Source organism: Homo sapiens, chromosome 10, assembly GCF_000001405.40.
Source record: "Homo sapiens chromosome 10, GRCh38.p14 Primary Assembly".
In the NCBI taxonomy this organism is placed as follows: Eukaryota; Metazoa; Chordata; class Mammalia; order Primates; family Hominidae; genus Homo; species Homo sapiens.
This window is the reverse complement of record NC_000010.11, coordinates 110,015,529-110,040,001: the sequence shown is the minus strand read 5'-3', so window position 1 is coordinate 110,040,001 and position 24,473 is coordinate 110,015,529. Positions and strand designations below refer to the sequence as shown.

The following is a 24,473-nucleotide window of genomic DNA, read 5'->3' as shown; positions in this document are numbered from 1 at the left end:
CAAGATGAGATTATTTTAAAAACTGGCTTCCATCTTGGGTCCTCCCCATCCTTCTACTTGTTCCAAGGGAAGCCTGCTGCCACATCTTAAGAACACTCAGATGACCCTGTGATGAGGCTTGCTTAGCAAGGAACTGAAGCTCTCCACCATAAGCTCATGAGGAACTATGGCATTGCTAACAACCAAGAGCGAAGTTAGAGGCAGCTTCTCTAGCCTCAGTCAAGCCTTGAAATGACTGAAGACCCAAGCCAGCAGCTTGACTGCAACATCATAAAACATCCTGAGCCAGAACCCAGCAAAGCTGCTCTTGGATTCCTGCTCCACAGAAACTGTGAGATAATGTTTGTTGTCTGAAGCTGCTTAGTTTGGGGGTAATTTGTTATGTAGCAATAGATAACTAATACAGTATTTTATGGTTTTGCTTTTTTCTTTAAACAGGGTGCTCACTGTATGCTTTCCTACTGGAAATAACTTCAGCAGTTTGTAATAGCTTCACTTTCATATACATAATTAGCATTAACTTCAAAAGACAATCCTCCTAGATTATATCCAGGTGGCTGGGACTCTCTGCCACTGCATCATGCCTCAAGGTCAGGGCCACACTCCTCCTTCCTCATTAGTCCCTCCACCTAAATTACAGCCCTGAACACTTTTTTTTTTTTAACTTCACCAATTCAAGCTCTTCTCCAATCAGTTCCTGAATGCTTAAATTGGGGTAGGAGAACTTTTAAGTCAGAAGGTCTTAAAGGATGGGAGGAGGTGGTAGCGGACTGACTGAGTGGGGCAAGCAACAACATGATTACTCTGGAAGGAGAAGAGTTAGGAAGGCTCAATACCAGAAGCAATGTGCAAGGTAAGGGAGAGGGTCTGGCCAGAGTGGGCTTAAATATAAGTCGTTACAATTAAAAACTACAGAAACATTTCTGAAGAGTTTCTGAAAAGTTAAAAATCACCACAAATCTGCCAACACAGAAATAATCGCTAGGAAACACTGTGGTAATACCCTCCAAACACACATAAAGGTATCTATTCACATATACATGTACATTCATGCAATCAACTTTTTCATATTACACATATTATAGCCCATAATTTACTGTAACATCTTTCTAAGCAAATAAACATCATTGTTAATGGCTGTGTTATATGCTAATGTTGTATAATGTGTGTAGTTACTAACACTTATTTGACCAGTCTCTTTCAAACATGTCCAGTTTTTTCTAGTCTTTACTAGTTTACAAACATAATTTTCATCCTTATGCATTTAACTTTTCACATTTGGACTCTGTAGGTAAATTCTTTGGAGAATTATCGAGTCAATGAATACAAACATTTTAACATATATATGTATATGTGTGACCCTTAAGAAACAGTGCATCAAGACAACGTGCTTTTAAAGAGCAGCTAAAAGAGTCCTTTTATAGTAGACAGGCTTTTATATCTGTTTAAAAAGAACAGTTAATAATAAGACAGATTGTAAGGGCTGCATAATATTCTAATAGTACTTAATGATTAAGGACAAATGTTAAACATATGTTTTAATAAAACAGCATACAAAATTGTTTTTACGCTGCTGTCCCAGATTTGAGCTCTAGTTCTTAAAACCTACTATGGATTCTTCCAAGGTCTCTCCTTCCTTACAGGCTGGCTGCAAAAGATCCAAGATGCAGGGCAGAATTCAAAGGCTCTGGGGGATGGGGGCCACCAGATGAATTAGCCTGGTTACACAAACCCTCTTCTACCCCCACCTAGTCCACACTGAACTACATGTAAGTGGAAAATAAGTCACTGAATTCTGGAGATGTTAATAAAGCATAGATAACCTACCTTAATATAAGAGGCTATCTCTGGGTGGTGGTTTACTGCTAATTTTTATCTACCAATTTGTTGCTGTATTTTCCAAATATCTTTTTTTTTTTTTTTTTTTTTTTTGAGACGGAGTTTTACTCTTGTTGCCCAGGCTGGAGTGCAATGGCACCATTTCGGCTCACCACAACCTCCACCTCCCGGGTTCAAGCGATTCTCCTGCCTCAGCCTCCCAAGTAGCTGGGATTACAGGCATGTGCCACCACACACCCAGCTAATTTTCTATTTTTTAGTAGAGACGGGGTTTCTCCATGTTGATCTGGCTGGTTTCAAACTCCCAACCTCAGGTGATCCGCCTGCCTCAGCCTCCCAAAGTGCTGGGATTACAGGCTTGAGCCACAGCGCCCAGCCTGTATTTTCCAAATATCTTATGAGTTTATGCTGTTTTTACAATCAGAAACAAACATACATAAAAATAGTGCTGAATGCAGTGTATGTTATGATATGGCAGTGTCCTTTAAATTTAAAATCACCAAAACATGACTTTTGAAATAAATATTATATAGTTAACTTTTTTTTTTTTTTTTTTTTGAGACTGAGTCTTGCCCTGTCGCCCAGGCTAGAGGGCAGTGGCGAGATCTCGGCTCACTGCAACCTCCGTCTCCTAGATTCAAGTGATTCTCCTGCCTCAGCTTTCCAAGCAGCTGGGACTACAGGTGCCCACCACCACGCCTGGCTAGTTTTTATATTTTCAGTAGAGACGGGGTTTCACCATGTTGGCCAGGCTGGTCTCAAATTCCTGACCTCAAGTGATCCGCCTGCCTCGGCCTCCCAAAGTGCTGGGATTATAGGCGTTGAGTCACCTGCCTGGTCTATACAACTTAAGAAGCTGAACTGTGTGGCTAGTCACTACGTGACTGTGTCACAAAATTTCATGCCAGTATTAAAGAACAGTAGGAACCCATGGTAAGACTGAAACAGAGGTCGACTGATGTGTGTTTAACTGGCTGTAAAACTTTAGGCAAGTCCAGGAAATGTTCCATTTCCTATCATATAAAATGAGAAAGCTGAACTAGAAAACCTCTGAGGTCTATGGTCAATTCTTTCCAACTAGTATTTTCTTTCTTATGATATACCTAGTCCTCCCAGAATGCTCCATATCCTAGAAAACCCATCTCTTACCCTCAGAAATTAGAACCTGACCACTTATGGGAAGCAAAAAGCACTAGTCTAGTTAACCGTGTCCCAGGTAAAAAGAGGCTGTATTTTTTGTGGCTAAAGCAGTGGCTGCTTCAAGAGGAATATGCAAAAGATCTTTCTCCTCACCTAATATCTAACTCCAGAAGGCTAGTCATAACACTATTTTCTACTGCTGGGGAATGACCTGCACACTCCTCTATGAAATGCTATCCCCATGCCTTAAACAGCCAATATATATTTAGAAGATTACATATATGACAATACCTCAGAGAGTGAAAGTATCTACTTAGATATTGAAATGTGATCATTTAAAAAAAAAAAGAAGGCTGGGCGTGGTGGCTCACGCCTGTAATCCCAGCACTTTGGGAGGCCAAGGCGGGCGGATCATGAGGACAGTAGATAGAGACCATCCTTACGGTGAAACCCCGTCTCTACTAAAAATACAAAAATTAGCCAGGCGTGGTGGCAGGCGCCTATAGTCCCAGCTACTTGGGAGGCTGAGGCAGGAGAATGGCATGAACCTGGGAAGCGGGGCTTGCAGTGAGCTGAGACCACGCCACTGCACTCCAGCCCGGGCGACAGAGCAAGACTCGTCTCAAGAAAAAAAAAAAAAAAAAAAAGACACTTTCTAAACTATGTAAGGGGATTATCACATGAGAAATATAACTTGGAGAAGGTATGAACAATTCCAAAACTGGTAAAGATATTCTAAGTTATAATAATGAAACTGGACTCCATGGTAAAATGCTGCCTCACTATAGATGAAACCAATATAGGAAAAGCTAATAAGAAAAGAGCTTCCAGGACAGTCCACAACAGATGACAGGTTTTTTGTTTGTTTTTTTGAGATGGAGTCTCGTTCTGTTGCCCACGCTGGAGTGCAGTGGCATGACCTCGGCTCACTGTAACCCCCGCCTCCCGAGTTCAAGCGATTCTCCTGCCTCAGCCTCCCGAGTAGCTGGGATTACAGGCATCTGCCACCACACCTGGCTCATTTTTTGTATTTTTAGTAGAGACGAGTTTCATCATGTTGACCAGGCTGGTCTCGAACTCCTGACCTCAGGTGATCTGCCGCTTCAGCCTCCCAAAGTGTTGGGATTACAGGCATGAGCCACCGCGCCTGGCAGATGATAGGCTTCGATGGGGACAGTGGTGGCATAAGAGACAGGAAAAGAGAAAATTCAAAGACAATTCTTAGCCTAAAAAAACACTGAGTCTCAAACCAATAGTAACACCTGGTAACGTGTGAGAATGCAAATTACCGGGCCTTACTTCAGACTTAAAGAATCAAAGTATGGGGTGTGGCCTAGCAATTTATGGTTTAACAAGCCCTCCAGGTGCTTCCAATGCATGCTAAAGTCTGAGTACCACTAGTCTAAAAGGATTCATACTATTACTGGTAGTAGAAAAGAGAGAGGGTCAAACTACAGGCAGCTGACAAAGCGCCACAAGTGCAATTTCTGTTTAGTCAGCAAGTCTAGCTTGGATTTAGAGCTTTTAATGGCACTTCTGCTGATGGGAAGTTGCTTCGCTTCCTGATGGAGTCAGTTATCACTCTAATCATTAGGCTTCCTCACCAAGCAATATTCTTCAGAATAAAGGCTGTTCTAGTGAGTTTATTCCCTTTACCTGTAATTTCTTTAAAACATGGGATGCAGATAGATGGGGTTGGTGATAGAGCAGAGGGTGGAAAGGGAATATCAATGAAGGTATAGCAGCAAGGGGGCGCTGACATAATGATGAGAAATGGATGAGCTCATTACCTTACAGATCTTGTACCATCTAATGAAACCCTAAGGACAAAACGTTTATTTTATATTTCAATATGAAAGAATCCCTCCCTCAGAATTCCACTTGGTGTTTGATGGTCTGGTTATAAATACTACTTAGCATTAAACATGCCATTTTTATTTATTCAGCAAATGGTAAGCCAAAGCTAACAAACATGGTCTTCCAAATGCAACTGAAAAAATTGTCTCATGATTTGGTTTGAGGGTTAATGGCAAAGAACTATTTTTCTAGTAGGTTACATTTATACATTACATGTTCCAAAACCTGAAACATGGCTGGTTAATCTTTTTTGGTTTAATTTACTTAATGTATGCATTGGCTTACACTTAGAAGCTTGTCTATACTTAGTATTTCCTATTACTCACAAAACGACACAACTTTCCTGTTTTACAACCTGGGGATGATTCAAGATCCACATTTAGATATAACATTTTTTAAAAAACATTCTCAGATGTCATTTTTAAGGAATTCATGGAAAGCAAAGAAATGTTTAAAACCCTTTATATTCAGATTAGAGAATATAAACAGTAGACTGGTATACGTAAGTAATTTGCTTATCTTTAGAGTATGATTGTCTAGGTTGAGAGTCTCAAAGCCCCATTTAATAACTGATTACATGGCAGTATCTTGGACTATTGAAATCTTTGGTTTTCCTTTCAGCTCAAATGAGAATTACAGACTAGTTTAATTGCTACTAAAACATTTATCTTACAGTTGAATTTAAAATAATTATATTTTATTTTATTAATGAAAAAATATAATTTTAAATTATAAAATACTTGCTAAAGAAATTATCTTGTTTATCAAAAAATGTAATTTTTTGAAACAAAAGGAAAATTATATTTACAAAATACCAAAATGTCCCAAGATATATGTCAATATCAATTCAAAGACATACCCCATAGAAATTAACATTTCTATGTAAAATGACCTTATGAATACTGATTTTTAAAACAAAAGCATTATATCCCCTAGGCTGAGATATTTGTAACTACAAATTTTAATTGTAGTAGTTCCAAAATGTAATCAAAAAAATAAACTCTAGAGATTTGTTAACTCATAACTTAAGGGCAGTGTTTTCCCTAAGAGTGTTCTAAGAAACAGGAGCTCCACGGGATGGAACTAGAGACTGATTTCTGTGGTCTAGTGACATACTTGAGACACACTGAGTTTTAACAAAACAAAGCAAACCCTGTACTTAATTGCTGTACTTCTCAGTCTTTGCTATGCTAAGGTACAATATAAACCTTTAAGAGATGGTACAGAAAGTAGTTTCCCAAACATATTTGGCACTATTTATCCTGAGAAATCTCTTAGAACTAATGATCTACATTAGTGGGAAATGCAGATGAGTTAATCCTAATAAACACTGCAGGCAACTAGCAAATTACGGTCCCAGAGATTCAAAATAGAAATTAAAGGCAGCTGAGTATAGCACAATGACTTTATTGTCCCTATTTATTATTTACAAGAATGCACAAAGTATTTGCACTATATACATAATACTTGCACTATATACATTTTAATATAGCACTTATGAGAATTTTTAAATTAAAAATTAACTGGTTTTTAAGTAACTATACTTCAAGAACACTGCTCCCTCTATGAAATCCCATTCCCCAGAAACGGGCCCATCTGATTAGCACAGCTGATCTGCCAGCTGGATGGATCCCAAGTAAATTTCAAACCAGCACTTGGCAAAATATCCCTGTACCCTGCATTTTACATGGAACACAAACTAAAGATGCATTCTGGGACTGCCCTGAGAACCAAACAATTGTATGGCGACATGAACATATTCTCTTTATCCTCTTTATATTAAATTTGCTAGATGACCAATTTAAACAATACTTCAAATGCTGTGCTTGAATTCTGCTTACATCTATTCTGCTATTAGTCTGTTGGCATCTAACACTGGATCAGAAAAGACTGCCATCTGGTAGTTATAGCAGCCCTTCACTAACTTGGTCAGAAGTTGAAGACCATAAGCCTCAGAGAAATGCAAACCAAGTTTATTACTATGAATATATCAAAATCTTCTTTTTGTAAAGCCATTCAACAGGGTTTTTCATTCAAAGAGAAACACTGTGCTCACACACATTATATAATCGACCTATAAAAGTCAGGTTTTAAAGGAGTTAAAGGGATGAATGATTAAATTAAATGAGTAATTAGGTCCACATTCCCCTCACCCACAAGGCTGCCACTGTCTCTTTTATAAAGCCTAGGGATGAGAGCCAAATTGGCTCTATTTAAATTGGCTATTTAATTTAACTCTAACTTCTCTTAATCATAATGTGTGTGTTCTTGGGTACAAATTTTTTCCTCTCGATAAAGTTTCTGGTAGGCAATACTTTAGATGAAGAGAAATAATTAACAGTATAAAAACAATAACAACATGTATACAGCATATGAGCACGCACAAAGTGTTTTCAAACTTAGCATGATCTTAATCAGGAAGGAAAGCCAGAGAAGTATTAATAGAATAGCGATTATTTCAGATTCTAACACTTTCATAAGGTTACACACTTAGGGTAATGGTAGAGCTGAGAAAGCTGAATCCACACCACCTAGTCAGAAATTCTCTTTCTAGCATACTATACTCTTTCCTGAAATAGTATTTTACAGTTTACATAGCTCTTAGTATTATAAATACAATATGCATGTACATGTACAAATACTATGCACTCTGAATTTGCCCAAGTATCCCTGCTGCCCACTTCCCCAGTCTGGTTTTACTCCCTTTTTCCTTTTTTGTCCTTCCTTTTCTCTCCTTATCTTTCCAAAGTCACCACCACTTGCTTGAGCCTGAATGAAGGCAGAAGTGGATGAGTGAATGCAGGATCCACCCTTTAAGAGCACTCATGATTTGTGATCACATCTATTCTAACTTAGAGACTAGCATGCCAACACATGGACTATTTCTCCGAGCTCTCATTCTTAATGCAACAATGTCAAGGACATGGCCATTAAGAGATGACCTAGGATTACATAACACTTATCCAGCTTAATATGCTTATTCTATCCCATTATTTTACTTCAACCCTCTTTGTCTATAAAAATCTCTTTCCTTATATGGCCAGTCTCTGAAGTCCAAGATTTGATATTCCTGGCATTTAGCAAAGGAGACTCTTCTTGTATCTCTTCCTGAAGGCATCTGAAACATTTTTTGTGACTGATTTTCCAGGTGAGAAAGTCATAGGCTTGATCTATACCGTTCAACTGGCTGCCAATAAGATTAAATCTCTTTGAAGTTGCTAAGAGGGGAAACTTTAAATGTTATCACAAAAAAAAAAAAGTATTGAGGTAATACATATGTCAATTAGACTGATTTATGCATTCTCATAAATCATATTCTAAAACCTTATGTTCTAAATGTATACGTATTCCAAATCATGTTTTAGATAATACATACATGTAACTTTTGTCAATTTTTAAAAGTTACTTAAAAAAAAAAAATAGCTCATGTCTCTTCATTAACATCTAGGCCACTCACTAGGTACCAGATAGGGTAGGAGGGTGGCGCATTAAAGTCATCCACCAAGACAAAGGAAAACAACTTAAGGATCCTAAGTACTGATCAGTCAACACCATTTGCCAAGAAACTCCTTTATAAACAGTACTCCGCTTCATGTTAAAGGACACACATGGAAATGAAAACATAGGGGAGTATAATACAGCTGAAAGAACACTGGTTCTAGAACCAGGCTGGCTTAGGTTGGAATTCCATTCTGCCACCTACTAGTTGCCACTTACCCAGAGCAAAGTCACAATGTATCTGAATCTGTTTCTTCGTAATTTAGAATATAAATCCGGTGGAACTGATGTGAGGATTCATGATTTTACCTAAAGTACCTAGCACTGTACCTTGCACATGGCAGGTGCCCAATGGATAGTAGCCATAAATTTATTTTTTATTTTGATTTTTTGAGGGACAGAGTTTTGCTCTTGTTGCCCAGGCTGGAGTGCAATGGCACAATCTCAGCTCACTGCAACCTCCCCCTCCGGGTTCAAGGGATTCTCCTGCCTCAGTCTCCCGAGTAGCTAGGACTACAGGCATGCGCCACAACGCCCAGCTAATTTTGTAGTTTTAGTAGAGACAGTGTTTCCTCATGTTAGTCAGCTGGTCTCGAACTCCCGACCTCAGGTGATCCACCTGCCTCGGTCTCCCAAAGTGCTGGGATTACAGGCGTGAGCCACCGTGCCTGGACTTACAAATTTATTTTTATCACCTGTTTTCAAGAAGCTGGTCAGGAGTCACCAACCATTAAAGATAGTGGGTGGAGCAAGTGGTTTGGTTTCGTTTTTTAAACTTCATCAATGGGAGAGTTAGAGAAGGAGTAGAGGTTGCTTGTAGGCAATAGCTCTCAAAACAGCACTGTAATACAAATTGGACGAGCCAAGTCAGCTGGAATAGCTGTAGCCAATGTAATCAATATATTAAAAAAAGTTATTTTATGTTCTTTTTCTTGTACTAGGTCTTTGAAATCTGTATATTTTTATAATTGCAGCACATCTCAATTAGGACTAGCCACATTTCAAGCGATAAACAGCCACACACAGCTAGTGGTTACCATAATGTCAGTGGAACTCTATAATTCTGGCACCAAGCCTGGGCCCATTCCAAAGAATCTACCCTAATACCCATTTCACAGGTTAGCCTAGATCCATGCCACCTAAAATCATCTCACAAATCTCTAGGTTACCAAGGGAATCCAGTTGCTTAGATTACTATAAAACACCTGTATATTAAAAGCTCACAGTCAGTTTGTCAAACATATACACAAGTATATAACTAGTAACAGCTGTCAGAAGGTTTCAGAAATTGGTGGAGAAATGCCAATCACATAATAATCACCACTTTCTTTTTTTTTTTTTTTTAAGATGGAGTTTCGCTCTTATTGCCCAGGCTGGAGTGCAATGGTGCGATCTTGGCTCACCGCAACCTCCGCCTCCTGGGTTCAAGTGATTCTCCTGCCTCAGCCTCCCTAGTAGCTGGGATTACAAGCATGTGCCACCATGCCCGGCTAATTTTGTATTTTTAGTAGAGATGAGGTTTCTCCATGTTGGTCAGGCTGGTCTCGAACTCCCGACCTCAGGTGATCCGCCCACCTCGGCCTCCCAAAGTGCTGGGATTACAGGTGTGAGCCACCGTGCCCAGCCATCATCACTTTCTTTTAGTAGAGTACATTCCAGTCAGGTCAGCTATCATCAAAATTCCACAAACCTGAAAGAACTTTTAATAAATAAGACTCCTTAAGAGTGTTACTAAAATAAAGTAAATAAAGTACGAGTCTGGGCAATTTTTAAAGGCCAATAATAACTTTAAAAATTCTTTATATCTGATTTGTCAGGATATTCCATGCATTTGGACAATCATACCTTTAGTTAAGTTTGTTAAAAATTCAACTAAACCGTAAGCAACTTTCAATCAGGTAAGAAAAGTCTTGTCATATGGTTTGCTTTTTTGCAATTCAAAAAATACTTTCAAAGTAAATAAAGTGCAACCAGATGCTACTGGCAAGAAAACTGGATTTTTCAAATGTGACTGATTTCCAAGAACATTACCACAGATGAGGCCTACACATTGGTGAGCTTAAAGCTTTGGAAAGCCCTTATCTAATCATCTATTCAGAACTCTCCATGCTTTCCCACTTTTCAGTATTTCAAATTTTCAAATAAATATCTCAAAATATATAGCAAATCAGAAATATGATACGTATAGGAGGACTTCTCCTTAACAGATTCAGAACACATTGTTATACAGCTAATGTCATAGAAAGTACAAATTAATGTTAATGCCGGAAGAAGAACAATATGCCATTTGCATTATAACAAGAAGTATAGTCACCAAGTGGCTGTTTTCTTCCATTTAGAGATGTTTTCCTTAGTTCCAATTACTACAAGTTTATAATCATCACGACAATCTATTACTCTGTATATTAAACTTGCAAAGTAGACATAAAATGTCTACATTCCAAACTGCAATAACTACTGTGATAAAACTTTTGAAGAAATGGAAAGTGAGCCAGGCACGGTGGCTCACGCCGATAATCTCAGCACTTTGGGAGGCCGAGGCAGGCGGATCACCTGAGGTGGGGAGTTCGAGACTAGCCTGACCAACATGGAGAAACCCTGTCTCTACTAAAAATACAAAAGTAGCTGGGCATGGTGACACATGCCTGTAATCCCAGCTACTCGGGAGGCTGAGGCATGAGAACTGCTTGAACCCGGGAGGCGGAGGTTGCGGTGAGCCGAGATCGTGCCATTGCACTCCAGCCTGGGCAACAAGAGCAAAACTCCGTTTCAAAAAAAAAAAAAAAGGAAAGTGATGAATTTGTATCATATGTAGGGAAAGACGAGAGTTAATTGTGATTTTTCTCTTAACTGAAACAAATTCAGAAACATTTACTAATGCTATTAATGGTATAAGTACATGGAAATAAAATTAGCAAAACTCATTTCTTTCTATTTAAACAATGCAGAGTATGAATGATTCTACATCATTATTTTCTGAACTTTTCAGATAAAAGTACTGAATTAAAATCTCAACCACAATGCTTAGAGACTCATTTGCTCAGGTCAAACACTAAGTCCCAGTCAATTTTGTAAATGGGCTATTTATTTTTTCTTTTGTTTTGAGACGGAATCTCACTCTGTCGCCCAGGCTGGAGTGCAATGGCATGATGTCGGCTCACTGCAACCTCCGCCTCCTGGGTTCAAGCAATTCTCCCTGCCTTGGCCTCCTGAGTAGCTGGGATTACAGGCGCCCGCCACCACGCCCAGCTAATTTTTGTATTTTTAGTAGGGATGAGGTTGGCCAGGCTGGTCTCGAACTCCTGACTTCAGGTGATCCACCCACCTCAGCCTCCCAAAGTGCTGGGATTACAGGCGTGAGCCACCACGCCCAGCCAGGCTGTTTGTTTAATATACTTCTACGTTCATTTTAGGCTTTTCTCCTCTCTTTTCCTGTCTCATAAGGGGAGATGGGGGTCAGGGATGTAAATAATCAGCAAGCATTTATTCAATACATATTTACTAAGCACCTACTATGTACCAAATATTATCCATATTACACACTTTACGTATGTCATCTCATATAACCCTCATAGCAACTTGAGAGGTATTTAACCCCAATTCTATGTATGAAGCAAATAAAAAGGCTCAGAGAAGGTAGCTAACTTGTTCAAGGCCAACAGGACTCTAAGATCTGAAGTCAAAACCTGTCCCAACTTTTCTTCCCCCCACAACCTTTTCTACCCAAGCTCTCCTCTCACTTAAGCATAACCAACTGAACCTGCCCTCTGAAGTTTTCATTCAGTAACAGTTGCACTTTTTCAGTAGTACTAGCTTTTGGTTATCACATAAAGCACAAATGGTTAAAACATGCCCCAGGAATGGTTTAATGTGTTTTTTTTCTCTCTGAAGTGTCTCATTTTCCTTTCAATTATAGAGGGAGCATACAAAGAAATGGCAAGACTTTAGTCCCCCTAGAAAAACTGCTAGTGGAGGAATTCTCACCTGAGGTGGGATAAAAGAGAAAGATGTTCCAGGGATATGCTATCCAATTTGATAGCCACTAGTCACATGTGACTACTGAAAACTTGAACTGTGGCTAGCCTGAATTAAGATGTGCTAAGTGTAAAATATAGACAGGACTGAGTAAAAATTTTTTATGCTGATTACATGTTGAAATTATATTTTAAATATATTAGGTTAAATCAAATATATTGAAACTAATTTCCCGCCCGTTTCTTTAAAAATTTTTTAATGTGGCTTCTACAACATTTTAAATTACATATATGGCTCACATTTTGGGGTGGAGAGAACAGTACTATTTCAGGGCCTTCCTATGAAACTTCAAATTATACCATGCAGGTAGTTCTAGCTACTCAACCTGTACAAAAGGCATCACTGAACAGAAGGCCTAATCCTTATGATTACAACTCTTGATAGCTCACTAGATTTTCTCTTAAAAGACAAACATTTTGGGAGGAACCCACATTATTACTCTCATCAGAAATGGCAAACAAATTCTTACAGTAATAAGCCAAACTAATGTAGTCTTCTACCTCATTCCCCCATCTTAAAAGCCATCTTTCCAATTTTTGGTTTCATATACTTTCATGAACATATTTATCTTTACTGTTTAAGAATTATGCAAGATATTAGGATCTTCATTCTAAATATTGATTCTAAGTACAGAAGACTAGAAAAGGTATAGTTAGCATCTGATGATTTTGGGACCCAGCCAGAAGATACTACTTCGAATACATTACTGAAATCCAATGGTATTCTTAATCATTTGGCCCTCATTAAAATGAAGAACCCAAACTTTCAGGTCACTGAAATTTCTGCTTAACTGACATATTATTCTCTACAAACCAAAATCTCAGGCAAAGGCACCAGAAGTTAAAAAAAAAAAAAATCAATCATTAACTTAAAAGAAATATTACATAGTTTTTATAAAAACTGACCTATAAGATTTTTAATATGAATATTGTCACCAGGAAACACAGCCAGACTCCAACCAGTTTAAACCAATGTAAAACATTAAATCCAAAAATTCTCAAGTACCTTGACCTTGTACCTGGGTCCTATTAAAACTGACTTAAAAGTACAATCAGCCGGGTGTGGTGGCTCACGTCTGTAATCCCAGCACTTTGGGAGGCCGAGGTGGGCGGATCACCTGAGGTCGGGAGTTCAAGACCAGCCTGACCAACATGGAGACACCCCATCTCTACTAAAAATACAAAATTAGCCAGGCGTGGTGGCACGTGCCTGTAATCCCAGCTACTCAGGAGGCTGAGGCAGGAGAATTGCTTGAACCGGGAGGCTGAGGTTGCAGTGAGCCGAGATCACGCCACTGCACTCTAGCCTGGGCAACAAGAGTGAAACTCCGTTTCAAAAAAAAAAAAAAAACAAGAAAACTGGGGTCATAAGTTCTATAATCTATTTCACTCAAATGACCTAAAACTATTCCTTTTCATTGGAGGGGTGGAACTGTTTCTCATTTAAATACATTCCTTTCCAAAAGAAAAAGGAATGTCAAGGCAGCCAAATACATCCATTCTGAATTTTCTATATAATGTTCCTAAACATGTCAGAAACATTTACCATGTACATGACTTGCTTCAGTGGTGAGCACACTAAAATTGGAACAATATACATAATATCAGTGTGGCTTCTATTAAGAAAACAAGAAAGATCCTGACACATTACAGATTTTGGAAAAAACTTCACAAAACTTTCCCAAATTCGATGAAATTTTTTTTTTCTTTTTTAAGGAAAAGGGAAAAACAGATATCTTGAAAAGAAGCCTCAAATCTGAGAGATTGGGGTCTCTCATCCTGTCCAAACCCTGCTCTAGGGAAGGTCAGGTGGAATTCTGACAAAACCCCTTACCCCAGAATTGCATGAATGGAGTTAAGATGGCTCGTAATGTAATGAAGTGAAAAAAGCACTGGACAGAGGCAGGAATCTCAGTTTTGAGTCTAGATCTGCCACAAGCAACATGTTGCCTTAAACACGGAACTTCCTTTAATCAGACTGGGTTCTTCACTCTTAAAATGAAGTAAGGTTTCCACAATTCTATGAATCTAGATTTTATCACCCTCTCTATTTCTATTTGCTTCTCCTTTAAAGTATACAGAGAATTCCTACGTCTACTCATATAACAGAAAGTCTGATTTTACACAAAGGCATAATTTTAGCATCTGAAGAAACTTGCAAGCCTAGAGACCCCTTACTTCTATTAACTAGGGGACTTGCTTTTAATTGAACCATGGAGGCAGAAGTTGGCTACCACCACTCTGAAGATTCCCATCTCTCCCACAAATATCGAACTAAAATTAAAAAAATATTAAATTAAATTAGTATTATTAAATTTAAAAAGTATTATTTATACTATAGTATGAGTGAAAGATTATTATAGCTACCACCTCCCACTTTCTATACCTCTGCCTTAGTGGAACGGACGCTAGGAAAGGAAACGTTTTAATAAAATGACAGCCAGGTGCGGTGGCTCACACCTGTAATCCCAGCACTTTGGGAGGCCGAGGTGGGTGGATCACTTGAGGCCAGGAGTTTAAGAGCAGCCTGGCCAACATGGCAAAACCCCGACGCTATTAAAAATACAAAAAAATTAGCCAGGCATGGTGGCGCACGCCTGTAACTCCAGCTATTCAGGAGGCTGAGGCACAAGAACCCACTTGAACCCAATGCACTCCTGCCTGGGTGATGGAGTGAGACTCTGTCTCCAAAAAAAAAAAAAAGAAAAGAGGAGGAAACTTGAGTGGTTTGGGGGTGACAACTTACTTTTCACTGTATACGCTTTTGTGCCTTATTTTGTTCCATGTCCTTATATTTCTTACTCAAAATTTCAAGTATTTAAAAAATAAATGGATTTTATAAAAATTTGATTCAAATAGTAAGTTTAACTTTGAAACCAATAAAATCATTCTTGCTTTTAAAAAACTGAGTGCTTTTCACTGATTTTCATTTTACTAAGAATTACTTTTGAGTAAGTTATTTTAAACATCTAACACTTAAAAATTTTAAGCATGAAAATTTTACATTGAAATAATCTAGAAGTTAGTTCTGTCAAATTCAGTGTTTTCTCCCACCCATTTATAAAATCACTATGTCCCAATATAAAGCCCTGTGTTAAATATCTTATTACAAGGAGCTACAAACAAAAATGGTCAACTGTGCATGCAACAAAGCTACTAGAGGAGCCAAATCATCTTGTTTCACCATTCAAATGTGCAAAAAGTCTTACTGGATTGGATTCTCCACTAAATTCACATAGCAAAAATAATTCTGCATGTGATTTTTTTTGGCAATAATTTATTATAGGTGCTTACGCTATGTTTACTTTTGAAGTTTCAAGATAAACCACCATATGTTATTAAGGGGAAACCAAGATGGCACAATGACTTCCTGTAATGACAACATGCAATACCTGATATTGCAAAGCCCAATGCCTTCAATTCTTTTGTTATTCCATTGCACAAAAGTTCTGTTTATAATTTCAACTTTTATTTTAGATTCAGGGTGTACCTCTGCAGGCTTATTACACGGGTATATTGTGTGATGCTGAGGTTTGGGGTACAATTGATCCTATCACCCAGGAAGTAAGCATTGTGCTGGACAGTTTTTCAGCCCTTATCCCCTCCCTCTCTTCTGCCTCTAGTAGTCCCCAGTGTCGACTGTTCTGTCTTTATGTCCACGTGTACCCAATGTTTACCTCCCACTTTAAGTGAGAACATGTGGTATTTGGTTTTCTGTTCCTGTGTTAATTTGCTTGGGATAATGCAATGCACAAAAGTTTAAAATTAAATGCAAAAACACAGCATAGGGGAAGCACCTTCATTTGTAAACAAAAAGACTATTCTTTAGCCAAAATGGTGACTATTCAACCACTTCCAAATTCATAAATGAAAACAAATTTAAAGACTGGACGATTGGGTAACACTTGAGCAGTAAAGCAGATTAAGAACTAGTCAAGTTTCTAAAATGTTTATGTTTGGGAAGAAAAATATACCTTCAAGACTTGCTGAATCTACTTCATTTCTAAGTAGTACAAGTGTTCTCTTTCCTCTGTCATAAATCAGAGTATTGGAAATGGAGTCAAATGCCACATTTAGATTTCGACCCTCAGTGACTATATATTTCTTCAGCCTCTCCATTGTTCAGCAAGTTGCACAGATTTCTGCCTCCAAAATGTCCCATTCCTTCCTGTCTTAGTCTGTTCAGGCTGCTATAATAGAATACTATAGGCTGGGTAGCTTATAATATAGCAACAAACATTTATTTCTCTCAGTTCTGAAGCCTGGGAAGTCTAAGATCAAGACACTGGCAGACTCAGTGTCTGGTAAAGGCCAGCTTCCTTGTTCACAGATAGTTGTCATCTTGCTTGTCATCACATGGAGGAAGGAGTGAGGGAGCTCTCTGAGGTCTCTTTTATAAGGGCACTAATCCCTTATAATCACTTCCCAAAGGCCCACCTCCAAATACCATCACACACCAAATACCATTCTCTTTCAAATCTCAAAGCCATGGTCTTAGTTCATTTGCTTATCTCTAAATGCCTCCTAACCTCTTTGCCAACACACTCTCTCTCCATCGTGACTTTCTTCACACAACCAAATCTCAGAGACATTTGATTATGCCTCTTCTCAACTGAAAGAGGTGCCACAGAATAAAATCTAAATTTCTTAAAGTAGCACCCAGGGCCTGCATGATCTGGTCCTCTCAACCTCACTATTCCTACTTCCTCTCCCATATCATAACCATCCCACAGACTTACGTGGCTTTGCATATTCTAGTATTATGGCCTATAATTCACCCTCCTCCCCAACAGCTTGAAATGCTACTGGATTCTCTAAAGCTCAAGTCAAATGCCACTCTCCTCCCTGAATTGTTTCTCCCCAATGAGATATTTCCCTTCTCTGTGCCCACCTGTACTTCCTTTGAATTGTTGCTATAGTATAGCTCGCAGGTTTGTGTTGGAGTCTGTTACTTACATAAATGTCTATCTTCACCACTAAGGTTTTTGTCTGGTTCACATATGCTTCCTTTAAAATACTGAAAACTTATCAAGCTATGACTATGCAGCCATTCAAATAATATGGACCACTGTTTTCTAGAAGTTTTCATTCTAATAAAGAAAATTACATAAATATATATATTTGAAATAAAATTAGGAGGTGAATTTTATGGTATGTGAATTATACCTCAAAAAAATAACTTTACGATAAGTGGTATATGAAAGGTAATTTAGAAATATTTTAGCCAACCCAGTATCATCCTCTTTGATGGTTCTGTTTTTTTTATGAAGGTAAATATAACTTTGGGTTGGCTAAAAAAAATTATTGGGAATTGGTTATTCCATATTTTAAAATTATAGATATGGAGAAAAAAGTAGACCATCTTTATTGCTTAAGACCTAATAAACTTATTCATAAGACAGTTCCAACTCTCTGAAACCCATGGAAAGGATCATCATAGAGGCTTCTTCAGCTTCTCTAGATCATCCCTGACAAAATCAAGTGTTAAAAAAAAAATTAGACTCACCCCTGAGTTATCAAGTATCACAAACCACCTCCTGATTTCTACCTGGACAAGAAAAGCATCTTAACCTAGCCTCTTTAAGCAAAGCAGGCTAAACCAGGTTGAGTGCGGTAATTCTTGTTTCATCCAACTTTCTACTGGGAAAACAGTTCTGTTTTAGAAATAAGGTCCACATAAGTTATTTTAGTTATTCTTCCATACATCTGAATTTGCACGCACAGATTTTTTTTCCTGGTATTTTTAAAAACTTGAGACATAATTCATATACCATAAAATTTACTAATAATTGTACATTTCAGTGGTTTTCAGTATATTCGCAATGTTGCACAACCATCACCACTATCTAGCTCCAGAACTTTTTCATCATCTTTCCTTTTCAAAAGGAAACCCAGTACCCATTAAGCTGCCACTCCCCATTTCCCCCTCCCTGCAGCTCCTGACAACCACTAATCTCCCTTCTGTCTCTATAAATGTCTATTCTAGACATTTCATGTAAGTGGAACCATATAATATGTGGCCTTGTGTATCTGGCTTTTTTACTTAGCATGTTTTCAAGGTTCATTTATAATATAAAATGCATCAGTAATTCATTCCTTTTTATGACTGCATAATATCCCACTGCATGGATACCGCATTTGTTTATCCATTTATCAGTTGATAGGCATATGGGTTGTTTCCATTTTTGGGCTATTATGAATAATGTTGCTATGGTCACTAGTGTACAATTTTTTTGTGGGAACACATTTTCAATTCTCTTGGGTATATACCTATGAGAAGTGCTGGATCGTAAACCGTTACCATTTTTAACCACGTTAACTCTGAGGAACAGCCAGACTGTTCCATTTTTAAAGGGCAGTAACAACACTATTTTTATTTTCACATTTTGATTAAAATAAAGTTGTTCAATCCCTAGAGAAAATGGTTTCCTTCAGGACCAAGTGTCCTTAGCAGTTAAAATAAATTCAAGGTTTTATAAGATACATTAAATCCCTTCAAAGCATAAAGATGTATAGAAATACTTCAAACCCATATTAGAGCAAAGCTTATTCTAGTCATCAAAGGGATTAAATATGCAACCATTTAAAAAATGGAGGAGGAAAATGACAACTCACAAGTTTATATAGTCGGCCTATAATTATGCACTGATCTCTCCTCATAGCAACTTGCAAATAGATGTCTAACAGACATTTCAAATGAATGTCTCAAACTGAACTCTTATTCTCTCCCATTCTCCAAACTGCTCCTTCTTAGACTTTTGCCTAGGCCCAAAACCTTGGTGTCAAGTTTGACTCCTCTCTCTCAACATATACCCCCATATTTCAGTAAGAAAATCCTATTGATTCTATCTTTAAAATATATCCAGAATCCAATCAATTCTCACTACCTCTACCAGATACATCATCTCTCACCAAGAGTATTGCATTGACCTCCTAAGTAGTTTCCCTGCATCTACACTTGCTCACTATGGTCTAGTCTCAAAACACAGCCAAAATAAACCCTTTAAACATCTGTCAGACGGTGCCACACCTCTGTTTGAAGTTATCCAGTGGCTTCCCATTATCCCCACCACGTTCTGCTTCATCCATGCCAGTTATGCTTGGGCCTCGGGGCCTTTGGCTTGTTTCCTCTGCCTGCAATGTTCTTCCCCGCAGACATCCACATGCATGCTCTCTCATCATCTTCAAGGTCACCTTCTCTGTGAGGACTTTTCCTGGCTGCTCTATTTAGGTCTGCAATTACGCCCAAACACTCCCTTAGTTTCCCTTCCCTGCTCTATATTGCTCCATAACATTTATCACTAACGTAACACATACTTTATTTCTATTGACTTCCAAGAATATAAACTGCATTAGGGCAGGAGGACTTGTCTGTTTTGCTTACTGCCAAATTCTCAGCACTTAGAATGGAACCTGACACATAATAATTGCTCAATAAATATTTGTTGAATGAATAAATGAATAAAGGATGCACCGAGCTGCTCAAAAAAATAAGGGCTAAACAGGTCACAAATATGTATGAGGAACTAATATTACTACATCTAATAAAGTTCAGATGAGAGTGGAAAGCATTTATGGGAAAAGATACCACAATGTTTCTACAGTTTGCTTTAGGAAAAGTTGCTATCCTTGCTCATTTCACGTATTTTGGAAAGAATCTGTCCTTTGCCAAAGGCTCTAGCTTCCGAAGAGCTGACAACAAACTCTGGGAGTTGACAAGCTCCTGGGGTAATGATGTCCTTCTCTTAAGTGCCACATATACATAGAGCCAAGGACCTTCATGGTCTTCATCTTCTATTAGCCCCATTCCCAGAATCTTCACACAGTACAATCATAGGTTTCTTGGCCACTCTCCAAGTAAACCTACAAACTGGTGAATTCAGCTTCTTCAGAAGCATAATCACAGCACCTTCAAGCACAGATGAATCTTAAAAAAATGCTTTATCCCAATGGCTCACATATTTTATATAAAAGAAAACTAGCCAGGCACAGTGGCTCACGCCTGTAATCCCAGCACTTTGGGAGGCCGAGGTGGGCGGATCATGAGGTCAGGAGATGGAGACCATCCTAGCTAACACGGTGAAAACCCGTCTCCACTAAAAATACAAAAAATTAGCCGGGCGTGGTGGCGGGTGCCTGTAGTCCCAGCTACTCGGGAGGCTGAGGCAGGAGAATGGAGTGAACCCAGGAGGTGGAGGTTGCAGTGAGCCGAGATGGCGCCACTGCACTCCAGCCTGGGCAACAGAGCAAGACTCCGTCTCAAAAAAAAAAAAAAAGCAAACAGAAAGTTACTTGCTCAAAATGTCTTGAATAGAGTTACAGTAAGAATTTTTCAAATAGTAAGGGATAAACATGACAAGTCTGAGTGAGAGAACTGAGACACTTTGGAACAAATCTAAAATCTGAAAACGGACAATGTTATTTTACAAAAATTTTAAGTGAAATGGTCATATCTCGTATCAACTCCATCCATCCATCATCCACATATTAGATTTAAAAGTTATATAACAGACATTGACAGAATATGCTCTAGCATTAGGCAAACAAAGTAAATGATGGACAAATACAGATTTTTAAAATCGTACATCTCTTCCCCAAAATGAGGCTTTCCTTGTCCAGCGCTGGGAATGATGAGGATTCCTAAAGTCTTTCTATTAATACTAACTTTCCTAAGCATTACTGCCTTCAAAACAGATGTATAAGGATATTCCTATAAAAGCAGGAATTTTCATATGGAGTTAAGAGGGAGCACTGTTAAAAGTCTACATGTGACCACCACTGCCACTCCATCCCCTCCCTTCACTCCTGCCATATTCTAATGTATTTCCTAGGGAGGCCAGTCCTTGGCACTGCTACAAATAAGTCTTTGCTGTAGCTGTTAAATGCCTTATAGTGGCAAGATATTGTGAACCACTATTATAAACTATCTCCCATCATGCTATAGAAAAAGAATCATTTTCACGGACAGTAATTTCTGGCCAAAATCCTTTCCATCTTCTCCACTTAATGAAATCTTAACTCCTCCTTCAAGGTCCACCCTTGTTCTTCTTTCCCATGAGGGCTTTTCTGACCACTCCAACTCTTTTTTTTTTTTTTTTTTTTTTTTTGAGACAAAGTCTCACTTGTCACCCAGGCTAGAGTGCAATGGCGTGATCTCAGCTCACTGCAACCTCCGCCTCCCAGGTTCAAGCGATTCCCCTACCTCAGCCTCCCAAGTAGCTGGGATTACAGGCGCCTGCCACCATACCTGGCTAATTTTTATATTTTTAGTAGAGATGGGGTTTCATCATGTTGACCATGCTGGTCTCGAACTCCTGACCTCTGGCAATCCACCCACCTCAGCCTCCCAAAGTGCTGGGATTACAGGCGTTGAGCCACTGCACCCAGCCCACTCCATCTCTTTTCTTGACCAGTTGACCTGTGGCATTTGTTTTCTGTATCTGTCATCTGGCATTCATCACACACACTGGCAAGTAACATATTTTGCATTGTTGTTTTAGTTATTGCTGACCATTCCTATGTTTGACTGGGAAAGTCTGAGTCTCAAGGAGTGATGTATCTCATAGCTTATGGGGATTTTCTGGAAGACACATATTAAAGTATAATTCCTTACAGATAAAGGAGAAGGACCAGAAGCCCTAAGGGTGACTGGGTTAAGAATACACAGCAAAACCATCATTTAACTGCAATTTTAGAAGCTTTTGGTTATACCAAAACAATGATCCCCAACCTTTTTAAACAAGATACCTTTTATGCTCAAAATGTGTTAACAAACAAGACCATTACTCATAATAGTAGTCAGGTATTAAATATCTCTTAATTTAAAAAATACATGGATTCAATGAAGTTTTAGTACATACACGTAAGGTATGGTACTTATTCAGTATACAGAACGTACTTGGTATGCACAAAAACTTGGTTTCCCCTAGGACCTCAGGATGGCACATGGTTTAATTTTATTGTACTGTGGACATGATTATTGCCATATTGAAAAGTACTACCACATAAAAATATTTAGAAGGAAGCAAACTAAATATGTATATATTATACATACAAAAAACAAATCCCCACTCCCCTACAAAAAATAAACCCAGCCAAAACCTCTTCAGTAACTCTTCCCATGAAGGGTATATTTTAAGCACACGCCCCAGGGTGAAACAATTCACTTCATGTTTCAGTAAACTTTTCTTGTGGTTTTAAATATAGCAGAAGGAACAAAAGTTAACATAGACAAAATCAAATAGAAAACATTTGGAAGTTCATCTCATGTATACGTCCTGATTCTAGTGAATTCTCAATCGTATTTACCCATGTTACCACTTCCTTAAAAACAACAACAGAAACCAAGAACCCCAGCATCAGTATTTTCCAGCCAAGGCAGAAATATCATTCTAATCTTGGTTCAACTCTTCTGTGCAGTCACCAACAAAAATAAACATAAATAAATCAGCAGTATATAGCATAGTGCTTAAGGGTATTAGCCCTGACCTCAAATCTTGGCTCTGCCCTTTGTTAACGGTACGATCTTGGGCAAGTTACTTCACTAAACTTTGGATAATTTATGTGAAGTGCTTAAAATGATCCTTGGCAGGTTTTAAAGGCTAACAAAAATGATTACTAATTAAGTAATTACATATAATATATATAAATATGTAACAATCAAGTGTATTTTTATAGCAACAATTTCAAAGCTTCCTTTCAATTCATATTTTCAAAGTTCCTTCTTGTCTGGCTTTGACAAGCCTATTCCAGATACCTTAAACCTCCACTGACCTGTAACTAGTTCTACTACCTCCAGTTCTACCCATGGCTGCTACCACAGTAAGTTTTTGGAAAATAGGGAAAGAAAAAACAAACAAAAACCAGGAAACCACTACCATACACCAAAACAACAACAAAATCTACTTTGAAACAGTGAATTCACTCAAGTAGGAATCATTGCCTTACAAAATGAGACAAAAAGGGCAGGAGAAAAAAACAATCGAAGTATTCAAGTATTCTTAAAACCCTTACCTCCAGTTAGGCAAATGATTTGTTTGCTGATTCTAAGCCCAAGCAGATTTTAACATCATTATTGTCTGCAGGAGCCATCAATAACCAACCAGACCTGCTATTGAAAGACTGCTCTCATTAAAATAATTTTCTTTACCACTTAATTTAATTTCACCACTACTCGGCTGTTTTTAACATAAGGCTCAACAACTTCTTCAGGTTTCTCTTTTCCCATGCATTCCAACAAGTACTGAATTAGTTCTTCATCATGTGTTTAGGCCTCCTGCTGGGAAGCATAATTAAAATTAAGCAGGCAACAATTCCACTTGGTACTAAGATCCTGTCAAATCCTCCAAATGAAGCTGGGCCTGGTTTCTCCAGGAACTGGCTGAGTTCTGTAAGGAAAACAGGAGCTGCTCAACTTGATGCTGGCCATTCAGTAGATGGCACTCTTCCCTTTGAGCCCAAATTAAACAGCCCCAAGAAGTATGTCCTGTTACATTCAGGTGTGACACAAAGCAGGGGTTCTCTCTTCAAAGCACTTAACTGACAGTCACAATCCCTCCTGAAATGCTGACTGGTCAAGGCAGACACTCTAAAAGAGCACAGGGACGTTTAGATTATAAGACATCAAACAATATAAAATCATCTAACTTAAGTGATTACCAATTAATCAGCTTCTCAGAGGTTATTACTATCTCAAGCAAATACACTGTTCTTATTGAGGCATAAAATGTTCCTTCCCTATTACATTCTGCTATAACAGTGACAGCCTTTCTGTGGCTAGTGACCGGACCCTTGTCTATCGCATGTTTTACTAAGGTATTTAGCTATGGCAAAGTGCTTAGAGAAATAAGATTTTATCATTATCAACATTCACTATGACAGATGAAGTAAAAATGTATTACTTTCAGCATTTTTAACTGAAAATAAATTTGATGTCCACTTAAAAAAAAAATCAAACATTCTGCCAGGCGCAGTGGCTCACACCTGTAATCCCAGAACTTTGGGAGGCCGAGGCGGACGGATCACGAGGTCAGGAGATCGAGACCATCCGGGCTAACATGGTAAAACCCTGTCTCCACTAAAATATAAAAAATTAGCCGAGCATGG

General features: G+C 38.4%; 1 protein-coding gene across 24 annotated transcripts in view, besides 1 other annotated feature; it reads right to left on the bottom strand.

Annotated features, from left to right (window-relative positions):
* Positions 1-24,473, bottom strand: part of ADD3 (adducin 3) — a 139,193-nt gene that overhangs the window by 95,564 nt on the left and 19,156 nt on the right. The window lies entirely within an intron of this gene.
* Positions 7,557-7,851: a silencer, noted in NCBI's record as "tiled region #15659; HepG2 Repressive non-DNase unmatched - State 23:Low, and K562 Repressive non-DNase unmatched - State 7:EnhWF". NCBI's record gives its function as "represses a minimal TATA promoter and a strong SV40 promoter by Sharpr-MPRA in HepG2 and K562 cells {active_cell/tissue: HepG2 | K562}" and the evidence as "EXISTENCE:reporter gene assay evidence [ECO:0000049][PMID:27701403]".